Genomic DNA, 25,273 nt, shown 5'->3' with positions numbered 1-25,273 from the left:
CAGAATATCAAACACTTTCTGGACGTGTATTAGGTACTTGTCACTGTCCTGAGACTTTTATCTTCATTAACTCTTTTAATTCTTTCAAAATCCTGTGACTGAAATGCAATGTCATCCTCACTCAACAGATGAGAAAACCAAACCAAAGCACAGAGAGGTTGAATGGCTTACCCAAGTCCAGACAGCTACCAAATGGCAGAGCCAGGATTCGAACCCCTGGAAGGCAAATCAGTTACTGACTGTGAGACCTCTGCCAAGTTATTTAATCCCTCTGAACCTCAGTTTCTTTATCCATAAACTGCGGATAATGGGGTAACAGTGGAGTAGTGTGTAGTGCACATCTGGAGACAAAAATGAGCTAATCCCAGTAAAGCGCTTAGAACAGTGCCTGGCACCCATGAAGTGTTCAAACAACTGTAGATGACTTTTTATCATCGCTGTAGTGGTTATCTTCAAGCCTTCCCCTCCCCCATCTGGCCGCGGCTTCCTCCCCCGCAGTGCCAGCCCGTGACGTTAGAGCAGAGTCTGGGTTCTGTGTTTAACTGGAAACTAGAACGAGATGGAAGGGGATGTTCAAGGCCCCTCCCTTGACTCTGAACGGACCCCCAGGGAACATGCGACCCTCTCTCTGGCGACGCCTCCCACCCACCACTAATACTTGCTCCTGGACCGGGGGGCGCGGAGGTTGGAGAGAGGAGGCAGGTGTCTGCATGGTAGGCAAGGAGGGGTGGGGGCGGAGAGGTGTGAATATGTTGGATGAGGGACAGGCGGGGGCACAGACCATGTCTTTTAAGCCCAATGCCAACTCACCAGGAGCCAGCGGCCACGCCCATCAGGACGGGGGCCCCTCCCCACCTGGCGGTGCACCCTTGTCTCCGCCGCCCGTGCGCTCTGGCGCGCATGACTGGGGTGCCGGTAGAGGGCGCGCGAGGGGGCCCGGGGTCAGGTGGGGGACCCCATTGGAGGCGGGATTGTGGGGAGGTCCCTGGGCCGCCCCTCCCGCCCCCTGCCCGCCCAGCCTGCTTGTCTGGAGCTCCAGACGCCTCGGCAAGAGCCCGCTGCGCCCCCTGCGCGCTCCTCCTGCTCGGAGCACGGCTCCTACCTGTAGAGTCCGGACGGGCGCTCCCTCCCCGGGCACCTACACCTTCTCCTCTTTCGGAAATCTCCCATCCAGCTACCCGGGTCTCGGACAGGCGGCACTGGGACCACGAGGCAGGGAGCCAGGCTTGAAGCAGGTGACATGTAGACGTCCCCTGGTCCAGCCTCGGAACCTGAGCGCCCTTCTGCCTGGAAAGTTTGTGGCTAGGCGCCATGGCCAAGAGCAGCTCCCTGAATGTTCGCGTGGTGGAGGGCCGCGCGCTGCCTGCCAAGGACGTGTGAGTACTCCTCGGGCGCTTCTGGGTGAGGGGCGCGCAAGGCCTGGGGTGGGGCCGACGTCGCCCTTTCCGCGTGCCAGGGCGGGTTGGCAGGAGGGCGAGGGGTTCTTGTCCAAGACTGGTCTTGGGGCAGTTCCGCTTTAAAGGGGCGAGAGGCCGCATGCCCATGGCTGTCCCGGTGGGAGGGGGGCGCCTAGAGTTAGCAGATGCCCCGCCTCACCCCCGGGCAGGGGAGGGGGTGTCTTTGTTCCCGGGATGTACTAAAGGGGGTCGTCCAGAGCTGAAGAGGGGATTAGAGGGCCATATTCTGTCAGATCTGGGAGGGGAGAAAGCGGGGGGTCTCTTCCTTAGTCCAGGCAGATGTTGGAGGTGGCTCCTCCAGGCGTGGGTGGGGGCCTAGCAAGGGAACCCTGGGGAGGACCCTTGGAGAGGGCCTGGGATCAGATGAGCCCTAACATCCTGTGTGGATCTGGTGCTTAGGTTTGCAGAGTGTCACCAGGTGGCCCTCCAGGGTCCTTTTGACCCCAAGCCCTGAGCTCCCCAGTCTTGTGGCTCCCAGCCTCGTGTGGGCCTTCCCCGGGTGCTGAGCTGCTTGAAGAGCCAATTCCTTGCTGCGACCCCCTCCCCAGCCAGGTGCAATGGGACTGGGGGACCCTACGGCTCCCTTCACTACTAGTCCCAAGCTATGCTTCCCCCAGGGCTGAGTCAGCAGCTGCTGAATCAGCAGAATATGGGGGGCGGGTTCCCCCTCCTGCTTGGCATAGTGCCCAGAAGGGGCTCTGAGGGCCTTAGCACCTGCGACAGGTGTGGGATCCTCTGGAGGACATTTGTTGTGTGACCTTGAACCTGCTTCTCTCTGGGCCTTGGTTTCCCATTTGGGCAATGAGAGCTCTGGACCGGAGTCCCCATCTGGTTGCCTGGGGTCTCCCATCCAGCTGGGAGGGTGGAGGACCTGTTAGGAGTTCCCCTGTGGCCCAGGTGAGCAGGAGCATGGATTGGGAGCCTTCACCTGTGTCAAGATTCAGTCTTAGCTCTGTGCTGATTCCCCAAGGTGTGGGCTCCCAGAGAGGACTTTCCTGCCTGATTTTATGACATTCCCAACCCCCAAAACACTGCAGCTGCGTCAAGGGGGCAGCTGTTGAGAGCAATTTTTGCCACCCTTCATCCTCATTGGCTACTCCAAATATACACACCCTGAATGAGAAGCAGAGTGTGTGCTCTGACAGTTCAGTGGCTGGACAAGCCCCCCCACCAGACTCTTTCTAAGATGTCCCCTCAGAGGCCCTGGGAATGAGACGGCCTACACTGTTAGGGCATTGAGGCCAGGCTGGATGCCTGGCAGCTGCTAGGTGGTGAAAGGAGTTCTTTCCAGAAACGGGGTTCTCACTCACTGAGCTCTGGCCCCTCCACCAGCCCTGGGTGAGAGGTCATGAGGGGGCGATGGGTGTCACCCCTGCACCTGGACACTGGCTTACGGTAACCTGCTGCTCTTCTGGAGAAGGGACTTGAGTCATGCCTGGTTCCTGCAGCTCTTGGCCAAACTTCCTGCCCCCAATTCCTGGGCCAGTGAGCTATGAAATAGGTCATGCCCTAGAGCAAGGGTGGGGAGGAGTCACTTAGCCCCAGCTGGCAGGGGGGGTTCTGGCCACCCTGCCTCAGTTTCCCTAGCTGTCAGCACCCTTCTTCAAAGGGGCTCTTCCTGGAGGCTGCTGGGAGCTCCATGCCATGGGAGCCCTTAGGTGGGGTGTGTTCTTTCCCTCTTCTCCTAAGGGAAAGGGCCCAGATTCTGCCTAAAGCATTGCCAGGTTTGAGGGGGGTCCATTCTGGCCCGGGAGGAGGCCTCTTCAGGTAATTTTAGAGTTTTTACTATTAGAAATAGTAGCAGTCAGTCACTGAGGGCTTAGTATGGACAGGCCCTGTGCTTAACACTTCATATAGTTCTATTGGCGTCTCTTATTTTACAAATGGGGAAACTGAGGACCAGAGAGGCAGTCACTTGCCTAAGGTCACCCAGCTGCGATTTGAACTCTGACTACTCCATGCCCAAACCAGACTGGGCAGGCAATGGCTGAGGGGCCTGCTTTCCCAAGACTGAGCTGAGTCAGGGGCCGTGGGAGAGGCCACAAGTCTGGAGAGATCAGGGGTCTGGAAGCAGCCACCCCCTCTTGCCACCGTTGCCCTCCCTGATAGGAGTCTGATAAGGCCCTCATGCGTCAGAGCCCTGCAGCTGACTAGTGCTGAGCTCGGCTCCCAGGAGGGCCTGGAGGTCAGGCTGGGTCTGCAGGAGGGGGTGTGTCTCCCAGCCCTCGGCTAGTGGGATCCCAGCCCATCTGACCCCACATCTGTAGTTGGGGAAACTGAGGGGTGGGAGCCTGCATAAAGGAAGCTTAGGGGTGGAGAACCCAGGGAAGGAAACTGAGACACAGGACATTACCAGCCACAGGAGTCTGAAGGTGAAGCCCAGATGGGGAAACTGAGGCTCCAATGGATTTGGGATGGAGCCAGAAGAGGAAACTGAGGCTTGGGGCACTCCACAGAAGGGGATTCAGATGTAGGATCCACAGAGGATCACGAAGACACTGTCTGTCTAAAGTGTTCAGGGATAGAAGCCAGGTAGGGAAATGGAGGCATTGGAGTGTCCAGCCAGAGGGGGATGAGGGAAGGAGTCCAGAGAGGGAAACCGAGGCACAGGGAAGGGCTCATCCAGCAAGATAGGTTCAGGTTGGAGGCAACTCTTAGCGCCAATGTCCCTCTTTCCTGGCATCCCAGAGGCATTTGTGGATCTATACAAACTGGAGAGACAGAAGGTGGCAGAGATCAAGGGAGTGGTGCTGGGGCATCGAGGGAGAGGGCCATTTGAATAGGTAGAGGGGGCATTGGTTTCAGAACATGAGTGTGAGCCCACAAACCTGGGTCCCAGTCCTATCTCCACTGTTACTCCGTGCTCCAGAGAGAGCACTCCATAAACCCAGTCATTCAGAAATAGCTCTAGAGGGCCAAATGCATGCCAGATGTGGGGGCCAGGGGTGGGGAAGTGGGGGACACAGACTCTCCCCAGGGAGTTCACAGTTTGGAAGTGGCAGGGAGGTGGGGAGACAATACTAAACGCATAGAGAAATAAGGGAGGCCGGCTGTGGTGGCTCACGCCTGTAATCCCAACACTTTGGGAGGCCGAGGCGGGTGGATTACTGGAGGCCAGGAGTTGGAGTCCAGCCTGGCCAGCATGGTGAAACCCTGTCTCTACTAAAAATGCAAAAAATTAGCCAGGTGTGGTGGTGTGTGCCTGTAATCCCAGCTACTCAGGAGGCTGAGGCAGGAGAATCGCTTGAACTTGGGAGGCAGAGATTGCAGTGAACCAAGATCGCGCCACTGCACTCCAGCCTGGGTGATACGGTGAGACTCTGTCTCAAAAAAAAAAAAAAAAAAAAAGAAGAAGAAGAAGAAGAAAGAAGATGATTTTAGGTGGAGGTCATTTTAGATAGGACAGTGGTGGCCAGGGACAGCCTCTCAAGGAGGTGACTTTGGACTGAGACTTGAATGGCAGGAAGGAGCCAGCCATGGCAGTATCAGGGCTAAAGTGTCTTAGGCAAAGGGAACAGCAGGTGCAAAGGCCCTGAGGCTGGCCTGGGGCCTGATGAAAGACAAAGAAGCCCTGTATGATGGGATGGAGGAGGAAGTGAGGGACCTGTTAGACAGCTTGGGATTTGCTGGTGACTGTTATTATGAAGGGGGGATGCAGCTGGCCTGAATTGGCAGATGACTCATAGCTACTTAAGGGGGTGCAGCACATCTTAAGAGATTTCGAGGGTTGATTTTGAAGCCTGGGTTCCCTGGTCTTTGCCTGTAGGGAGGGTCTGCTGAGTCTGTCCCCATGGAGGGCTGAGGAATGGGGAGTCCCCTTCCCAGGGAAGCTCCCATTGAAATGAAAAGCTGGGGACACAGCATTAAAGCCCCTGCAGGGGAGAGCTGGGGGCCAGACCATGATCCGGCCCAGCATTTGAGTTCCTCCAGCCCCCTAGGAGGTGTATGTGAGCATCACACCTGATTTATAGAGCAGAGAAACTGAGGCCCAGAGAGGGAAGGGGACTCTCTGGGATGGCACAGCCAGAGGGTGGTGAAGCCAGGCATTCAAGACCCCCCCACCCCCCCCACACACGCTCTGGGCCTCTGCTTTGGGCTTTTCGAGGCCAGGACTCAGAACCTGCTGGCCTCAGGCCTCCCTGTTCTATTTCTATGGGTGGAAGCCCAGAGTGCACAGATGTGGTGGCCTGGGCAGCTGTGACATCTCCTGCTGGTCCCCTAAGGTTCTACTTCTGAGCTGGACTTGCTGTGTGACCCTGGGCAAGTCCCCTTCTCTGTCTGTGCCTCCGACTCCCCTGCCTGTGTCATGACTGGGACCCTCCACTCATGGCTGCCCTCTCAACCTGCTTCCTCCCTGAACTCCCTCCTTCTGCAGGTCTGGGAGCAGCGACCCCTACTGCCTAGTGAAAGTGGACGACGAGGTGGTGGCCAGGTGAGGGGTGGCGACACGGGGGAGAGGAGGAAGGGAGGGGTCTCTTTCTAGACCTGGGGAATCTGGGACCAAGAATTCACATTTAAAGGAGTGCTTACCCTGAGGGGGACTCGCGGGCCTGCAGGTGGGTGATTTGTGTCCAGCTGGGACTGCCAGCTCCTCTCCCCGACCAGCCCTGCCTTCCCCCTCTGGACCTAATGCTGTCCCTGCTGGCTCCCTGGGGCTGACTCAGCGCTGCCAGCCTGTGCCTCCTACAGTGGCCTCCCTGGGGGCGGGCATCTCACGCTTGGCTGGACTGGTTGGTTCCGGGCCTGCCGGGTGCTGCGGGCACTGGGGATGTCTGTGCGCGTGGGCATGTGCATGTGTGTCTGTGTGTGCACCCGCCCAGCTGGGCCTGCTTGTGAGTTGCAGGGGGTGGGGGATGTTGCGGGGCTAGTGTGAGTGCCTGTGACCACGTGTGTATGTCCTCGTGGCTGTGCAGGGCACAGGCTCACGTGTGTGTACCAGTGTAGGGTGCATGTACATGCACGTGCACATGGCTGCCCTGCACATGCATGTGAACACCAATGCCAGCTGATTTGGTCACAAAGGCACCGGTGTGGACACATGTGAAGGTGTGAGGATGTTTGGGGTGTCAGTGAGTCTCGCAGGGGGATATCAGGCTGCGCCCTGCTTGGCTCCCACCCCCGCAGGCCGAGGGACAGCTCTCAGCCCCTGGAGGCCTGATGGGGGTGGGTGGGCTGGTGGGTGGCTGAGGCCTTGGTTCCTATGGAGACGGCAGGATTCAGGATGCTCCTATTCTGGTCCAGATGGGCTCAGAGCTGGGGGTGGGGAGCCTGCCTGGGGGAGGGGTCAGCTGTAGCTCCCCCCTCCACTGACTCCCCTCCACTGTCCTCCCAGTGCTCATGCTGGCCCCTTGATACATTCCCTGACACCACCCCAAACCCACAGATTGATTTTCTGTGTGACCCCAGGCTGCTGTCTCTCCCTCTCTGGGCTGTAAGAAGCCTTTCAGCTCAGGAGCTGGGGAATGTTCAGAAGACCTTTGGCTGGGAAAAGGTCAGGTTGGGGGAAGAGGGTATTTGGGAGGAAGCACTGGGGGTCCATCTGAGGTTGGTGCCGCTGGGCTGGAGGAAGAAGGCGGGGTGTGTGTGTGTGTGTGCGCGCACGCGCGCATATGTGCACTCTTTCTTAGGGCACAGTGTGGTGAAAGGAGGGAGGAAGGGAGCAACAGGTATGAGAACCAAACTTTGCATCCACAAATGTGGGTGTGTCTTTACCGGGCAAGTAGAATCTGTTCTCTGCTGGGTAAAGGGAAGTACCCCTGCAGGGATGTCAGGGCAGAGATGCTGTGTGTGTGCACCTGTTTCTGGGCTTATCTTGGTCCCCATCCTTCCTGTGCCTTCCTCCTGCTCACTGTGTGCTTCAAAGCCCCGAGTGCTCTGTCCCCTGCTCACCTCCTGTCTCCTGGCCCCTCTCCCTCCCCCATTCCCACCAGGCACCTTCCTATTCCTTCAGCTCACGAAACTCATTCCTGCTACAGGGCCTTTGCCCATGCTGTTCCAGCCTTCTGGAATACTTGTCCTTGTCCTCATTGTCTCTCCCCACTTTGCCTGACTAGCTCCTACAGGAAGCCTTCCCTAATCCCCTCCGACCCTACCCCCACGACCCAACCAGGGGCGATTGAGCTAACCCCAATCCCAGGACTTCTCCCACCATGTCCTAATTGCTGGGAGAGAGCGCCTGCTTGTGGAAGGGGGGTCTGTGGGGTAAGCAGCCCTGACACCTGTTCCTCTGATCCCTGGAGCCCAGCACAGGCTGGGCCCATAGTCCAAGTGAATGTTTATGGAGTAAACGAATGAACAAATGAATGAATGGAATTGTGTGTGTGTGTGTGTGTGTGTGTGTGTGTCAGTGACTGTGTGTTTGTATGACTGTGTGTGTGTCTCTATGTGTACCTGCCTTGTATCATTGTAAGTGTGTGAGAGTGTGTCTCTGGATCTCTGAGTGTGTCTCTGTGTTCCCGACATATGTCTATTTTCATATGTTTTCATATGTGTCTGTTTTCTATGTGTCTATCTGCATGTGTCTGGTGTCTGGATTTCCAAACACAAAGGTACATGTTTTTAGGACTTTCTGAGGGTGCATATGTGTATCTGCTTATGTGTAAATGTGTCTCTGTCTCTGGCCTCCTTGGTGTATCTGTGAGCAACTCTGTCTCAGTGTGAATCCGTGTGTGTGTATCTGCACATATGTTTCTGTTGGTTGCTATGCATGTCTGTTGGTCTCTGTGTATCTGGGACCTTAGATGTGTATTGGGGCCCTGTATGTGGGTGTGTAGGATCATGTGTGTGTTTTGTGTATGTGCCTCTGTGTGTGTGTGTGTGTGTGTGTTGAGATCTCTGGTGTATGTCTGATACTCTGGGTATGTGAGTGTTGGGGTCTGTGTGTGTTTCTATGCCTGGATTCATACATGCTCCAGTGTCCCTGGGTGAGTACATATCTAGGATCTTGGAGTGGCTGTCCTTGGGTGTGTGTGTGTGTCTGGGCCTCTAACTGGGTTCATGTGGGGGGTCTCTGAGTGTGTGTGTGTCTGGATTCCCGTGTGTGTGTGTGTGTGTGTGTGTGTGTGTGTGTGTCTGGGTCTCCAGGTGTCTGCCTCCTGTGTGGCCCGAGGACCCCAGCCCCCTGCACCTCCTTTTGCAGGACAGCTACTGTCTGGAGGAGCCTGGGCCCCTTCTGGGGGGAGGAGTACACGGTGCACCTGCCTCTGGATTTCCACCAGCTGGCCTTCTACGTGCTGGATGAGGACACTGTCGGGTTTGTGGTTGGGGAAAGTGGAATGTGTGGGTTAGGGACCCAAGCCTGGGCACCTGAGGGGAGAGGGGATGTGGGTCCACAGCCCACGAGGGTGTGCCCTCCCACCCAGACCTTGACACCTGCCCCCACTTCTCTTGGGGCGGGGCAAAGGGGCCCCTGACTCAGACCTTCACGTGCCCGCCTTCCTGCAGGCACGACGACATCATCGGCAAGATCTCGCTGAGCAGGGAGGCGATTACAGCCGACCCCCGAGGTGGGCGAGGGACATGGGCAGAGGGAGGAGGGGGCCATGCCCAGGGTGGGCATTTGCAGGGGCATAGCACATGGCACGGTGAAGCACAGAGCCTTCAGTGGAAACTTATTTCTCTTGTTGCTTTTGTCTTTACTTTTTGTTTGCTTTTAATTGTTGTTGTTAGAGATGAGGTCTTGCTCTGTCACCCAGGCTGGAGTGCGGTGGTGCTATCATAGCTCACTGCAATCTTGAACCTCTGGGCTCAAGCGATCCTCCCATCTCAGCTTCTGGAGTAGCTGGGATTACAGGTGCACACCACCACACCCAGCTAATTTTTTCAGAAATATCTTATAGATACGGAGTCTTGCTATGTTGCCCAAGCTGGTCTCAAACTCCTGGGCTCAAGCAATCCTCCCACCTTGGCCTCCCAAAGTGTTGGGAGTACAAGTGTGAGCCACTATGCCCAGCCTTGTCTTTAGTTTTTGAGCAGTTAATTTGTTTGCCTAGTTCAACATTCAGATTTTATGATAAGCACCCCAGCTACTCTGTTCCCTTCCTGGCATTGTCAGCTTCTTGTATGTCCTTCTAGAAATATTTTAAACATATATAAGCAAGTAACAGTAGTAATAGCAGGCTGGGCATTGTGCCTCACACCTGTAATCCCAGCACCTTGGGAGGCAGAGGCAGAGGCAGAGGCAGGAGGATCGCTTGAGCCCAGGAGTCCGTGAGCAGCCTGGACAACATAGGGAGACCCCATTGCTACTAAAAATAATTTAAAAATAATAACAGCAGCAAACATTTATATACTGTATATATAAATATAAACATATAACATATTTATATATAATAAATATAAACATATAACATATTTATATATAATAATTATATATAAATATTATTCTGAACACTAATTCTTTATATTTATGGACTCAGTGATGTAGGTTCATCATAACCCTGAGAGGCAGGTGCTCTAATTATTAATGCCCACTTTATAGGTGAATAAACTGAGGCACAGAAAGTTAAATGACTTGCTCAAGATCACATTATTAAGTGAGGCAGCCAGGATTTGAACCAAAGTTGTCTAGTTCCAGAGTCTATGCCTTTTGTGTGTGTGTGTGTGTGTGTGTGTGTGTGTGTGTGTGTGAGAGAGAGAGACAGTGTCTCATTCTGTCACCCAGGCTGTCGTGAAGTGGTGCAGTCTTGGCTCACTGCAGTCTCAACCTCCCTGGCTCAAGTGATTCTCCCACCTCAACCTCCCAAGTAGCTGGGACTACAGGCGTGCACCACCACACCTGGCTAATTTTTGTATTTCTTGTAGAGGAAGGGTTTCACCATGTGAAATCACGCTGGTCTTGAACTCTTGGCCTCAAGTGATCCACCTGCCTTGGCCTCCCAAAGTGCTGGGATAACGGGTGTGAGCCACTGCACCAAGCCGAGTCTGCGCTCTTAATACTGTGTTTTTCTGTGCTTATACAAATTGCAGCCTTTTACACTCTGCTCTGTATCTTGCCTTTAAAATTTTTTTAATTAATTAATTTATTTATTTTTGAGACGGAGTCTTGCTCTGTCGCCCAGGCTGGAGTGCAATGGCACAATCTCAACTCACTGCAACCTTTGCCTCCCGGGCTCAAGCAATTCTCCTGCCTTGGCCTCCTGAGTAACTGGGATTACAGGGGTCTGCCACCACACCCGGCTAAGTTTTGTATTTTTAGTAGAGATGGGGTTTCACCATGTTGGCCGGGCTGGTCTCGAACTCTTGACTTCGAGTGATCCATCTGCCTTAGCCTCCCAAAGTGCTGGGATTACAGGCATAAGCCACTGCACCCGGCCTGTACCTTGCCTTTTCACTTCACTAAGTATCTCTGAGATCTTCCTATAACAGTGGTCTCAGAGTTTCCGCATTCTTCGTTTGGGATGGCATCGTGGTGCTTCATTGTGTGGCTTTACCATTGTTTATTTGGCTAGTTCCCTACTGATGGCATCTAGGGAGGTCATAGTCTTTCCCTGGTTCAAGCAATGCTACAATAACTAGCCTGTACAAATAAAATTTCACACATATGTAAGTTATATCCATCGGTCAGATAAATTACTAGAGGTGAATTAAAGAGTGCACACATTTGCATACTTGATAGTTGTTGCTAAATTACCCTCCATGGAAGAGGTAGCAGTTCACTCACCCCACACTCTCTCAGTTATCAAACTTTTTGTGATCAATTAGTTGTAAACACCACCGCACTCAGACCAGCCAGTTATCAAACTTTTTGATCGTGTATCTGATAGGTGAAATATTGCCTCAGCATAGGTTTATTTTGCACTTCTCCATGAGCCTTTTTTATATACAGTTTTGAAGAATCACTTTATTTTCTCTTCCATTTATTGTCTACTCATATTATACATGAATTTCCCCCCACTAGGTTGTTTGCCTTTTCTTATTGATTTGTAGGAGCTCTTTACATATTTGGGCAGTTACTTCTTTGTCAAATTAGCTGCAATATTTTTTCTCCATTTGTCTCTTACGTTTTGACTTTGCCTGTAATTTTTTCATGTATAAAATTTCTTTTTCTATATTTAATCTCATATTTTTCTTTTGGTTCTGAATTTTCTGTTAGACCTAAAAAGAACTTCTCAACTCTAAGATTAAGAGAAACATTTTAAAACATAATTCCTTCTAACATTAATGTATTACATACACAAACACACACACATATATGTATATGTATTTTTTTTTTTTTTTTAAGAGACAAGTTCTCACTATGTTGTCCAGGCTGATCTTGAACTCCTGGCCTCAAGCAATCCTCCTGCCTTGGCCCCACAAGGTGCCGGGATTACAGGTGTGAGCCACCATGCCTGGCCATTTATTGCATTAAACAAAAAACACATTTAAGTCTTTGATCTATTTGGAATTTGCCTAGATACAAGGTATGTAGTAAGGATTAAACTTTATTACTTTTTGTCTACATGACTGTTAATTGTCTCAATACCATTTATTGAATAATGCATTATTTCCCTCAGTGGGAATTAGTTGAAAACCTACTATGTGCTGATCATCATTATAATCCTATTTCATGAGGGCCTACTATATGCCAGGCATGGTGCTAAGCGCTTTACTTCTCAACACACCAGTGAAGTGTCCACCAGAATGATCTCCAATATACAGAGGCATAGAGAGGGGAGGTGACTTCCCCCTTCTAGAAGGTTCAGAAATCAGAGTCCAACCCAAGTTTTGTCGGCCTCCAAAATCTGTGCTCTTAATCTGCCCACTGAGCTGTACCCAGTGTACCTCAAACATCCTCCCAGGGCAGTGAAATTAAATGAGTGAAGTTTGAGGCCTGGCTTGCAGGAACTTGTGGACTTGGATAGGAAAACAGAACACATTCCCACAGAACAGGCAGCAAGAAAAGAAGGAACGTGTCCATGTGTCTGCAAGCATGTGGCGGAAATGTGGAGGCTGCAGTGGAGATAGAGAGATGTGAGATGAGACTTCTACTTTCAGCAGCTGGCGGGACTCAATCCTCAAAAGCACTCTCCTGCTATACAACAGTGAGATCCTGGATTAAATAGGGTTCCTAATACATTGTTGGACTTGTGGTAACTTTTTTTTTTTTTTTTTTTTTTGAGACAGAGTCTCGCTCTATCACCCAGGCTGGAGTGTAGTGGCATGATCTCAGATCACTGCAACCTCCGCCTTCCAGTTTCAAGCGATTCTCATGCCTCAGCCTCTGGAGTAGCTGGGATTGCAGGCATGCACCACCATGCCTAACTTTTTTTGTATTTTCATAGAGACAGGGTTTTGCCATGTTGGCCAGGCTGGTCTCAAACTCCTGACCTCAGGTGATCAGCTCACCTTGGCTTCCCAAACTTTTGGGATTACAGGTGTGAACCACCATGCCAGGCCAAACTTCTTTATAGAACGGGAAATCCCTCAGTATTTTTTCCATCTCAAGTCATGAGACTGGGTGGAATAGCTCACGTGTGTAATCCCAGAACTTTGGGAGGCCGAGGCTGGCGGATCAGTTGAGGTCAGGAGTTCGAGACCAGCCTGGCCAACATGGTGAAAACCCACTCTACTGAAAATACAAAAATTAGATGGGCATGGTGGCAGGTGCCTGTAATCCTTGCTATTCGAGAGACTGAGACATGAGAATTGCTTGAACCTGGGAGGTGGAGTTTGCAGTGAGCCAAGATTGCACCATTGCACTCCAGCCTGGGTGACAGAGTGAGACTCCATCTCAAACAAAAACAAAAACCATTAGCTAAAACCTAACAGTGAATGGTAAACAAAAAGCAAGGAGACCATGAAGGATTTCCCTGAAAGCAGACGTCAGTATCAATTCTACACTCAACAAAGAGACTAAAACTTGGACAAGGGGCAGGGTGGATGTTACTCAACATGAGAATTCTCCATTAGGCTGAGACCCTCAAGGGGTCCCAGAATAACCAACTCCTGCTCCTCTCTAGGGATAAGCATGTTCACTTAGGTTTCCCAGAGTAAGATCAAACAAACATGACTTCACAATCAAAGATCAGCAAACACACAAGGAAATGAGACACCATGGGCAATAGTCAGCAGAAACAATAATCATCTGATTTAGACCCACAAAGACTTTAGATTCTGTAATTATAATATACGGGATTTTTAAAAAGAATCAGATTTAAAGAAATAAAAGATGTAATCACAAGAAAGGTCTGCAATAACAGCAATAAATTACAAGTAATTACGCAGACAGATTTTAGAAAAGCACCAAATAAAACTTTTAGAGGTAAGTATAATTGTCAAAATAAAAAATGGAGTGGTTGAGTGAAACATCAGATTATTCATAGTTAAAGGGAGATTTAGTGAACTGGAAGAAAGGTCTAGAGAAATTATTCAGAATTAGTTTCAGAGGAAAAGGAGAAAAAATAAAATAGAAATTCAGAGACATGGAAAATAACTGTGGAGGTTTAACATTTATTTAATTGGAGTTCCAGAAGGATAGAATTTTAAAAATTAGAGACAGGCAAAAATTATAACAAAAATTGGGAAGAGGAAATAATTTTAAAAAATCAATCATCTAGAATTTTGCAGAAATAAAGGAAGGATATGATTCCATAAATAGAAGCAGTGCAATCTCTACTCAGCAGGATTTTAAAAAATCTGTATCTAGACACATTGTGATGAAACTGCAGTGCATCAGAGACATAGTCCTTAGAATTATAATAGATAGAAAAGCCTGGGCATAGTGGCTCCTGCCTGTAATCCCAGAACTTTGGGAGGCCAAGGCAGGCAGATGGCTTGAGTTCAGGAGTTCGAGACCAGCCTGGGCAACATGGCAAAACCTCGTCTCTACAAAAAACACAAAAAATTAGCTAGCTGTGGTGGTATACATCTGTAGTCCAAGTTACTGGGGAGGCTGAGGCAGGAGGATCGCTTAAGCCTGGGAGGCTGAGGCTGCAGTGAGCTGAGATTGTGCCACGGCACTCCAGCCTGGTGATGGAAAGCTAGAATTCAGTGGAACAATATCTTCAAAGTGTTGAGAGAAATACAGAGGGGAGAAATGTCCAAGATTTTTTTGAGGGGAGAGTATGTTGGGATTACATGATGAAGTTCTTTCTATACCAGGGGGAAGTGTGTGATGGCACATGGCTACGAGCATTGGCCCTAGAACTAACTATACTGCCTGCATTCAAATTCCAGCTCTGCCATTTGCTAGCTGTGAGACCATGGACAAAACTCTTTCTCCTTGTGCCTCATTTTCCTCATCTGAAAATGGGGATAATTACAGCACCTATATCAGAAGCCAGGGTCTTGACACATTTTTAATTTTAATTGAGGCAGGACATAGTGGCTCATGCCTGTAATCCCAGCATTTTGGGAGGCCAAGGTGGGTGGATCGCTTGATCTCAGGAGTTTGAGACCAGCCTGGGCAACATAATGAAACCCCATCTTTACAGAACAACACAAAAATTATCCAGGCATGGTGGTGCACGCCTAAAGTCCCAGCTGGTCGGGAGGGTGAGGCAGGAGAATCGCTTGAGCCCAGGAGGCAGAGGTTGCAGTGAGCCAAAATTGTGCCACTGCACTCCAGCCTGGGCAACAGAACCAGACCCTGTGTCAAAAAAAAAAAAATGAAAATAATGTTAATTGAATTTTTAAGTTAACACAATGCCCAGTACATGGTAGGCGCTTCATAAATGTTAGTGCCTGTGCCCTTCAGGGATTGACAGCTGGATTAACTTGAGCCGAGTGGACCCAGATGCAGAAGTGCAGGGTGAGATCTGCCTGTCAGTGCAGATGCTGGAGGATGGGCAGGGCCGCTGCCTTCGCTGCCATGTGCTTCAGGCCAGGTATGCTTAAGGTGGAGGTGGTGTGGAGGGTGGTCTGAGAATGAGCAGGAGTCCCCTGGGTCTCCCCTGCTGCCTGGCGTTTGGGACCTCCTCAGTCCTGGGGCACTTCTGGGCTGGCAGTCAGGTTCCCTGTGTGGACAAACAGTCCAAGCTCACTGGGTTGTAAGTTCCTGGGGGCAAAATCCTGTTGAGTCCCCAGGGACTAGCAGCAACAGACCAGACACTCAGGATGACAGGTGACAGGTGAGTGTGGAGGTGTAGTCATTAAATTGTAACTGACAAATACCCAACTCATACTGGCTTAAGCAAAAGAGCTACTTTATTGGCTTATATGACTGACATGTAGCTTCAGGCATGGCTGGGTCCAGGTGTTCAAACGATGCCATTAGGAATCTGTCTTTTAGCTCTGCTGGTCTCTGTGTTAGCTTCATTCTTAGGCAGACTCTCCCCAGGTGAGAGATGGCCCTAGCAACTCCAGGCGGGCACCCTGCCAGCTTAGCCACTCCAACAGAAAAATCACTTCTATTTCCTACCATTTCCAACCAATGTCCTGGGATTAATTTTTACTGGCTCAAGCTGGGGCACATGTCTATCTCTGAACCAATTACACTGAATAATGGATCAGGCCTGAGTCACAAGCCCATTACTGGAGCGGAGGGAGGGATTGGACCCCACTAAGTCATGTGAGAGGGGGGTGGTGAGAAGGAGATAGGTCCTGTCCCAAAGAAAAATCAGATGGAAGATGGATGCAAGACCAGGAAAACCCACAGGTGGCCCTCTAGGGGCACCAGCTCATGGGACACCCATCTTCCCTCTTGCCTACTTGTCATGGCCATCCCTTTTTCCCTTCCTCAGCTCTCTGTCATTTTGCTCCCTCAAATACCTCCACCCTTCCCCCACTCCTCTCTCATCCTGTTTTTCTGCCTGTTTTTCACCTCCCCAGCTCTCATTTTTAGGAAAATCCCTGCCCAGATTGGGGAGGACCTCCAATTTCCAGCTTGCTGTGTGACCATAAAGCCCTTCCTTGCCCTCTCTGAGCCTCTCCCACCGCCTCCAGATTTTTGCTTCCAGCCTTGGCCTCAGCTGGGGCTTCCTAGAGTCTGGTTGAGGGAGAACCAGGGAGGCAGGTGACAGGCTGAGGGACTCAGCAGGGGGCAGAGGCTCCTGGTCTTCCTTGAGCCCATGGCCCCTTCCTCAGCCACAAGGCTGTGCAGGATCCTTGCAGGCATGAGAGGGACTGATTGCTGTCGCTTAGCAACTGGGCCAGCTCCTAGGAAACCGAAGAAGGCTTTGGATGCTAAGCAGGGGTGGGAAGGGAGCAGGAGGAAGAAGGAAGCAGCCCCTGGTGTGGGGGTGGGGTGGTGGTGTGTTCCTGGGTTTGGAGAACGTCAAGAAGGAGGGATGGGGAAGCTGCCTGGAGTAAGACTTTTGGGTTGTCATGGCAACCAATGGCAAGGAGTCCCTGCCTCATGCTTTCTCTTGGGTCCTAGACAAGGTGTGGGCATGGGTGTTTGTTGAATGAATAAATGAACCAAGCACCCATCACCTGCCAGGTGCTATGCTTGGCCCTTTACACACATCATCCAATCTAACCCTCGGCTCTATGAGGTTGGTCTGTTATTACTCCCATTTTCCAGGTAAGGAAATGAAGACTTAGAGAGGGGAAGTGACTTTCCCTAGTGTCCGCTAGCCAATGAGTGCAAAGCCAGGCTTTGAACCTTTGCATCAAGTTTCCCATCTGGGGCCTCCAGAGAATCTGAGGCTCTCTTTTCCCCCTCCCTGCTGCACTTCTACTTGCTGGGCTTTGTGATGTAGGATATGACCTTTTGGTGCCTCAGTTTCCTCATCTGAAAAATAGGGATATACAAGTGCCTCCCCATAGGGTGGTGACAGGAAGATACTGGGTTTGGACGGTCATGGTTAGGGGTGTCCCTAGCTGGACCCCTACATGGAACAGTTTGTTGCCTTGGAAACCAGCGACATTGGAATGATCTACTCTTAACAGCCTTTCCAAGGCCCAACTTGGGTGCCGTGTTTCCTCACTCCTTTCCCCATCTGTTCCCAGGGACCTGGCTCCCAGAGACATCTCTGGCACATCTGACCCATTTGCACGTGTGTTTTGGGGCAGCCAGAGCTTGGAGACCTCAGTGAGTGGTGGGGAATGAAGCCAGGAAGGAGTGGGGCATTTGGTGGTGGGGCAGGAGTCCCCATCAGCTCTCCCACTCACAGACCACTTCCTTCGCCCTCAGACCATCAAGAAGACTCGCTTCCCGCACTGGGATGAAGTGCTGGAGCTGCGGGAGATGCCAGGTGCCCCGTCCCCACTGCGGGTGGAGCTCTGGGACTGGGACATGGTGGGCAAGAATGACTTCTTGGGCATGGTGAGCCTCATTCCCTACAATACCCTCCATGGCTCCCCAGTGCCTCCAAGGGGGAAGAAAGATGAGACGGGCTGAGCCTCCTGGCTCTCAGAAGGGTGGATGTACAGCTGCCTCATCAGGTTCCCCTGGTTAGGCCTGAGTGTTGCAGTTTCATTGCTCTGTTGTACAGGTGAGGAAACTGAGGCTGTCAAAGGTACAGGAACCTATCCAAGATCACAGGACGGGCCCAGATTCTCATTCTGGGATGAGAGCATGACAGATGACTATGTGCTGGCCCTGTGCTGAGTGTCCCTCCCACAGAGCCTCATTACTTAACCTTCATGGCTACCCTATGAGGCTGGGACTGTTGCTATCCGCATTTTACAGATGGGGACATTGAGGCTCAGAGAGGCTAAGTGGCTTTTTCAAGGTCATATGGCTAAGAAAGGGCAGAGCCAGGATCTGAGTTCAGATCTCTTTGACTCCAGACTTAACGCCCTTAACTCCTACTCCTGGAAGTCCTGGGCTCAGGTTCTTTCTCTTGGTTTCCCTGTCTTTGGAGACAGCCTGGCATTTCCTCAAATAGTTAAAGATAGAGTTACTCTATGACCTAGCAATTCCACTCTTAGGTACATACCCCAAAGAAATGAAAACTTATCTTCACACAAAAACTCTGACATTACTGTTCATAGCAGCATTAGTCATAACAGCCCAAAATGGAAAAAAACTCAAGTGTCCATTATAGATAAACAAAATGTGGTCTATCGATACAATGGAATATTATTCAGCCATAAAAAGGAATGAAGTACAGTAAGTCCTCATTTAATGTCATCCATAGGTTCTTGGAAACTGCAGCCTTAAGCAAAATGACATACTGTATGCTGTAGGAACTTAACTCTTGTTTATTTTTTTTATTTTTATTTTTTAGAAGGAATCTCCCTCTATTGCCCAGGCTGGAGTGCAGTGGCATGAACTCAGCTCACTGCAACCTCCACCTCCTGGGTTCAAGGAATTATTTTGCCTCAGTCTCCCAAGTAGCTGGGGTTACAGGTGAACACCACTACATCTGAGTAATTTTTGTATTTTTAATAGAGACAGGGTTTCATCATGTTGGTCAGGCTGGTCTTGAACTCCTGACCTCAAGTGATCTGCCCGCCTCATCCTCCCAAAGTGCTGGGATTACAGGCATGAGCTACCCACCCAGCCTTCATTCTTGTTTATAGTAATTAGCTCATGGTACATTTGATTTCCTTATACGTTATGAGTCAGGACTTACCGTACTGGCACGTGGATGAACCATTACACTAAGTGGAAAAAGCCAGCCCCTGCAAAACACATATGATTCCATTTATACGAAATGTCTAGAATAGGCAAATCTACCGACACAGAAAATAGATTCGTGGTTGTCAGGGGCTGGGGGGCACGAAGTGACTGGTAATGAGTGCAGGCTCTTTAGGGCTCATAGACAATGTTCTGGAATCAGCGGCACAACTAATTGCGGTAAGTCTGTGAATATACTAAAAATCATTGAATTGTACACTTTTAAAAGGTGAATTGTTTAGGATGTGAATTACGTCTCTATAAAGTTATTTAAAAAGAGAGAGAGTGTGGGGCTTGGGTCCCTCCAGGGCTGTCCTTATGCCTTTTGATAGAAGAAATTTATGTCCCTAAACAGAGCTGAAAATACACTCAGTCCAGACATGCTATCTCTAGCAGCTGTGTGACCTTGGGCAAATCACTCCACATCGCTGAGCCTCAGTTTCCTCAACTGTAAATTAAGTGTCCCTGGTAGGCCCTCAGAAGCCCTCAGTGTCCTGGCAGGAGCTAATAATTTGGGACTTGTAGGAGAGAAGGAGGGGTCCCCTGGCAGGCCATTCTGCCCCTCTGTGGGTGGGCAGTCTGTTCTTCCAGGGCTAGGTGAGACCTGAGCCAGGCAGGGCAGGGCAGGCCAGGGCCCGGCTGAGGGTCTGTGTGTCTCTCTCAAAAGGTGGAGTTCTCTCCAAAGACCCTCCAGCAGAAGCCACCTAAAGGCTGGTTCCGCCTCCTGCCCTTTCCCAGAGCCGAGGAGGATTCTGGGTAAATGTGGGTGCAGAGGGAGGGGGCCAGGCTGGAGCCATGCCGGGCAGCATCCACAGCTTGCGGGCAGAGCCCATGCCAGCCCACACATTATCACTATGCCACTTCATGCATTCATCCATTTAACAACTGTCTATGGAATGTCTCTCAAGGTGTTTACATAAATCCACATAAGTTCACTTTACACCCGTTCACCTGTTCATGTGCAAACATGTTGGTTCACACTTGATGTATATTTAGAACTTTGGGTCCTTCCACACCTCTCCATACTGTTCATTCTTGAACACACTTGTTTATACCATCTCCACTTGCCTGTCCTGTTTATACCCATCAATATCATTTCACACCTGTTTATACTGGCCGCACCTATACACACCTGTCCATGCTTGTTCACACTGTCAACAATCATCTACACTTGTCCACACATCCTGTACATATTTGTGTACACTGGCCACATCTATCCACTCTGGCCACACCTGCCTGTTTATGTTGTTTGTATACATTCCTATTTATGCCTGTTCACAGCTGCCTACCCCTGTTCATACCTGTCCACACTTGTCTATACCTGCCTACACCTGTCTTGTTTTGCAAACACCTGCCCTCCTCCCATGTGTTCCCATTGGCCTCTCTTGGCTCTCCACACCTGCCCATGCGCACTTGTGCTCTTCCATAAGGGCATCTTTCATTTTCTTTTCCTTCTTTCTTTTTTTTTTTAGACAGAGTATCGCTCTGTCACGCAGGCTGGAGTGCAGCGGCACAATCTTAACCTCTGCCTGCCAGGTTCAAGCAATTCTCCTGCCTCAGCCTCCTGAGTAGCTGGGACTACAGGCGTGTGTCATCACGCCCGGCTAATTTTTGTATTTTTAGTAGAGATGGGGCTTCACCATGTTGGTCAGGCTGGTCACAAACTGCTGACCTCAAGTGATCTGCCCACCTTGGCCTCCCAAAATGCTGGGATTACAGGCGTGAGCCATCGTGTTCGGCCAGATCTTTCATTTTCTTATGATCTGATCCTGGACAGGGGGAACCTGGGTGCCCTGCGAGTGAAGGTACGCCTGATTGAGGACCGCGTCCTGCCCTCCCAGTGCTACCAGCCTCTCATGGAGCTGCTCATGGAGTCTGTGCAGGGGCCAGCAGAGGTGGGTGCGTCAGGCAAGCAATGCTATCAGGCGGGTGCCGGGGGTCTGGATCCTGGCCTCCCCCTGCCTCACGGAGCCCTATCTAGGCCCATCTGCTTTGGGGTCCCAGGGGCCGAGGTCATCTTTGTCTCCCGCCCCCACCCAGGAGGACACTGCTAGCCCCTTGGCTTTGCTGGAAGAGCTGACCTTGGGGGACTGCCGCCAGGACCTTGCCACCAAGCTGGTGAAACTCTTTCTTGGCCGGGGACTGGCTGGGCGCTTTCTGGACTATCTCACCCGGCGTGAGGTGGCTCGGACCAGTGAGTTGCCCGCACAACCCCCGACATCACCGCCCTCAATGGTGGGCTTGCAGGAGGGTCCTGGGGGAGGAATGGGGAGGCCTCAGGCAGAGGGAAAAAGGGCTCCTTTTTCTGTGGGTCCCTGTGCTGTGCACCTCCAGACAGTTGGGAGCCCAATTGCAGGTTCAGGCCCTGGCTTTGCTACTTGTGGGCTGTGTGACCTCAGGCAATTCACTTAACCACTCCGGGCCTCTGTACTGTGAATGGGGTTGATGTTTTGGGTCTTCCTGATTCTTGGGGCTGGAAGAATCATGACTCCCACCTTGGGTGAGTGGGGTGAGCTGGGTTCAGCTCCCTAAATCCCAGCAAACACTTCCTCCTGTCCTCCCAGTGGACCCCAACACCCTCTTCCGTTCTAACTCCCTGGCATCCAAGTCGATGGAACAGTTTATGAAGGTGAGTAGGTGAAGGCCTGCGGGACCAGGCGCAGCTTCCTCGGGTACCTCCTTCCCAGTGCCTACCTGGCTCCCTCACTTAGCTGGCTTCAGACAGCACTGAGCAGCCGAGCTGCAGTGCTGGCGGCTGGTGCCCGGCCTTGCCCTGAGTTGCACCTGGATGTGTCCCCTACCCCAGCCCTGGCCTCTCTCTGAACCTCTTCCTGCATGGTCCCCCCTGCGCCCAGCTCATGGGCATGCCCCGGCCTCGCCCTCAGCCCCACCCCGTGTGGTGCCCCCTGCCCCCAGCTCGTGGGCATGCCCTACCTGCACGAGGTCCTGAAGCCTGTGATTAGCCGTGTCTTTGAGGAGAAGAAGTACATGGAGCTGGATCCCTGCAAGATGGACCTGGGCCGCACCCGGTGAGCAAAGCCTGAGGACCCTGACCTTCCGACGGGCCCCTTTGGCTACCCGGAGCCTTGTCTGGGGGCTGGGTTCATGCTGACTGCCACCCACCCTGGGGCTACAGCTGCTCAGGAGCTCGGTGGCTGAGCTGAAAGCCTCACACACAAGCCCTTAAACCATCAGGCTGTGTAGTATAGGGGTTATGGTCAGGACTCTGATGCTAAGCGCCCTGGGTTCAAATCTTAGCTTTGCCACTACTGGTGGACAAAGTTGCCAAAACTTCTGTTCCTCAGTGGTTAAGTTGCTTCTTTTCTTTTCCTTTTTTTCTTTTTTTTTTTTTTTTGAGACAAGGTTTTACTCTGTCACCCAGGCTGGGGTGCAGTGGTGTGACCACAGCTCACTGCAGCGTCAACTTCCCGGGCTCAGGTAATTTTTCCACCTCAGCCTCCTGAGTAGCTGGGACTATAGGCGCACACCACCATGCCCAGCTAAGTTTTTACATTTTTAGCAGAGACAGGGTTTTGCCACATTGCCCAGGCTGGTCTCGAACTCCTGGGCTCAAGCAATCCTCCTGCCTTGGTCTCCCGAAGTGCTGGGATTACAGGCGTGAACAACCGTGCCTGGCATAATCAGATTTTTTAAAATTAAAAAACCTAAAATATTGATCCAATGTTCTTCTACTTAATGCACACACTACTTCTAAAATGTCCCTTATCCAGCTGGTGAGAATATTATCACCTGAAACGTGGGGCTCATGACCTCTGCTCCGTTAACTGAGTCATGCATGTGCTCCACAAGCATTAGTGATCTTTATTACTGTGCTGCTGGGGCTCCTCGACATTAGTGATATTTACTGCTGTGCTGCTGGGGGTCCCCAACATTAGCGATTTTTATTATTGTGGTGTTGGCGGTCTCTGAGTGGGCCTGCCTGCAAGGGAGATCGTGGAGAGCTCAATGAGATTGGGAGGAAGCAGAGCAGTGGCTGGGGGTCATTCCACCCCTCCGTGGGCTCCTCCTTTCTCTCCAGAACCTTCTCCTGTCTAACCCACAAGCCTGGAGCTGTGGAAAATTGTTGCTGGGGTATCCACTGGGGACCGTGGCAGAGACAGGAGAGGATCTTTCCTTGTGCTGTCCACACCTTCTGACTACTTTAGAGGCAGGCATCATGACCCCCTCTTACTGATGATGCAACTGAGCCTCAGAGAGGGAAGGTCACTTGCCTAAGGTCATACAGCCAGGAAATTACAGAGCAAGGATTTGATCCCAGGCCCTGAGCAGAAGGACACAGTCCATCTGTGAGACTCCAAGTTGAGGGCTTTTCCTAGCACACTTGATAACGATGGAGGAAACTCAGTGGGCACCCATGGGGACAGGGGCATGTAGGGACCTGGACAGGGCAGGGTTGCAGGCAGGCTGTGGAGTTGGCAGTCCTGGGTTCTATTCTCAGCTGTGCCATCTCCCCAGTAACCTCTCTGAGCCTCAGTTTTCTTATCTGTTAAACGGGAACAAGTAAGGCTACTTACCCCATCAAGTTGCTGTTAGGATTAAAAGAGACCATGCCAGAGACAAGTCCAGGGCTCAGCACGTTGGGTCCAGGACACAGTGGGGCTGAGAACCCCCAGCTGTCACTCTAGGTGTGGGCAAGACAGACCCTCAATCTGTAAAGAAAGAAAGGAACACAATAATTGCAGATGGAAAAGTGCTGTTCTAGCATCCACAAAACAAAACAATGATTGAGTGCCAGGCTCTGGGCTGAACACTGACGATACAGTAGGGAACAAATAGTCCCAAGTCCCTATTCTGGGGGGAGACAGATAATGAGCAACTGGAGGAAGAAGGTTTATTTATTTATTTATTTATTTTTTGAGATGGAGTCTCGCTGTGTCACCCAGGCTGCAGTGCAGTGGTGCGATCTCGACTCACTGCAACCTCCACTTCCCATATTGAAGCGATTCTCCTGCCTCAGCATCCCAAGTAGCTGAGATTATAGGCGTGCACCACCACGCTGGGCTAATTTTTGTATTTTTTGGTGGAGATGGAGTTTCACCATGTTGGCCAGGCTGGTCTTGAACTCCTGGTCTCAAGTGACCTGCCCCCTCGGCCTCCCAGAGTGCTGGGATTACAGGCATGAGCCACCGGGCCTGGTTGGGAAAAGGTTATTGAATGGGACCAGGGAATGGAATAAACGAGGGAGGGGAGAGGCCTGCAATATTCCAGAGGGTGAGGACAGGGGCAGCCTCGCAGGGGAGGGGACATCTAAGCAAAGACTTGCAGGGGGTGAGGAAGGGAGTGTTGCGGAGATTTAACATTTAACGGGAGAGTGTTCTGGGCACGGAGATAAGCCAGTGCAAAGGCTGCAGGATGGGAATGAGCTCATCGTGTTTAAGCAACAGCAAGAAACCCGGTGGGAAGGGGCAGGAAGGAGGCTGCGGACGTGGAGGGAAGATGAGTCCTCTCGGAGCTCAGCGGGGCCGGTGGAGGGTTTGGAGCAGGCAGATGTTGTGCCCCGAGGCTGAGCTGCTCCGCCGGCCCCTCCAGGAGGATCTCCTTCAAAGGCGCACTCTCGGAGGAGCAGATGCGGGAGACCAGCCTGGGGCTGCTGACGGGCTACCTGGGGCCCATCGTGGACGCCATCGTGGGCTCCGTGGGGCGCTGCCCGCCCGCCATGCGCCTCGCCTTCAAGCAGCTGCACCGGCGAGTGGAGGAGCGCTTCCCCCAGGCCGAGCACCAGGTGCGCCAGGATGGGAGGCTGAGGCTGGGGACAGGCCGGAGCTTGTCCGGGGTCACTCGGAGGAGTCAGGACAGAACTGTGACCAGAACCTAGGCTGCCGGCACTAGAGCATTCTGTCCTGGCAGAAGTGGGGACAGCGTTCCTGGCAGGGTCCGGGTCCCAAGAATGATAGTAATAATAAAAATAGGCCGGGCGCAGTGGCTCACGCCTGTAATCCCAGCACTTTGGGAGGCCGAGGAGGGTGGATCACTTTCAAGTGAAGTGAGGAGTTCGAGACCAGCCTGGCCAACATGATGAAACCCTGTCTCTACTAAAAATACAAAAATTAACTGGGCATGGTGGCTCACACCTGTAATCCCAGCTACTCCGGAGGCTGAGTCAGGAGAATCGCTTGAAGCCAGGAGACAGAGGTTGCAGTGAGCCGAGATTGCGCCACTGCACTCCAGACTGGGTGACAGAGATAGACTCTGTCTCAAAATAAACAAATAAATACCAATAATAAATATAATAATGGCAGCTAACACTCTATGTAGCCTGACCATGGTCCATATCTTGTTTTAGGTGATTTATGTATTTATTACCCTA

General features: G+C 51.6%; 1 protein-coding gene across 22 annotated transcripts in view, besides 2 other annotated features; it reads left to right on the top strand.

Moving 5' to 3' along the window:
* The window catches only part of RASAL1 (RAS protein activator like 1), a 37,479-nt gene continuing 12,223 nt past the window's right edge, over positions 18–25,273 (top strand). For 9 of the 22 annotated variants that reach the window (XR_007063139.1, NM_001193521.3, NM_001394085.1 and 6 more), the window contains exons 1-13: positions 1,013–1,376; positions 5,833–5,889; positions 8,596–8,709; positions 8,901–8,962; positions 15,136–15,265; positions 17,331–17,412; positions 17,515–17,646; positions 19,613–19,701; positions 20,723–20,840; positions 20,986–21,139; positions 21,510–21,574; positions 21,862–21,974; positions 24,496–24,688. Coding sequence is in view for 21 of the 22 variants with exons in the window: in NM_001193521.3 (NP_001180450.1) it covers positions 1,312–1,376; positions 5,833–5,889; positions 8,596–8,709; positions 8,901–8,962; positions 15,136–15,265; positions 17,331–17,412; positions 17,515–17,646; positions 19,613–19,701; positions 20,723–20,840; positions 20,986–21,139; positions 21,510–21,574; positions 21,862–21,974; positions 24,496–24,688 (1,374 nt within the window). In the remaining variant the exon portion in view is untranslated. Of the gene's footprint in view, positions 34–534; positions 714–871; positions 947–1,012; positions 1,377–5,832; positions 5,890–8,595; positions 8,710–8,900; positions 8,963–15,135; positions 15,266–17,330; positions 17,413–17,514; positions 17,647–19,612; positions 19,702–20,722; positions 20,841–20,985; positions 21,140–21,509; positions 21,575–21,830; positions 21,975–24,495; positions 24,689–25,273 lie in introns of those variants that run through there. The other 13 variants (NM_004658.3, NM_001394083.1, XM_005253950.5 and 10 more) reach the window with 8 other exon arrangements.
* Positions 887–1,026: a silencer, noted in NCBI's record as "silent region_4891". NCBI's record gives its function as "represses an Ori minimal core promoter by ATAC-STARR-seq in GM12878 lymphoblastoid cells {active_cell/tissue: GM12878}" and the evidence as "EXISTENCE:reporter gene assay evidence [ECO:0000049][PMID:35858748]".
* Positions 16,319–16,519: a silencer, noted in NCBI's record as "peak1969 fragment used in MPRA reporter construct". NCBI's record gives its function as "represses an SCP1 promoter by STARR-seq MPRAs in K562 erythroleukemia cells {active_cell/tissue: K562}" and the evidence as "EXISTENCE:reporter gene assay evidence [ECO:0000049][PMID:32103011]".

Source organism: Homo sapiens, chromosome 12, assembly GCF_000001405.40.
Source record: "Homo sapiens chromosome 12, GRCh38.p14 Primary Assembly".
Taxonomy (NCBI): domain Eukaryota; kingdom Metazoa; phylum Chordata; class Mammalia; order Primates; family Hominidae; genus Homo; species Homo sapiens.
The sequence above is the reverse complement of the archived record's forward strand: the minus strand, read 5'-3'. Positions and strand labels throughout refer to the sequence as shown.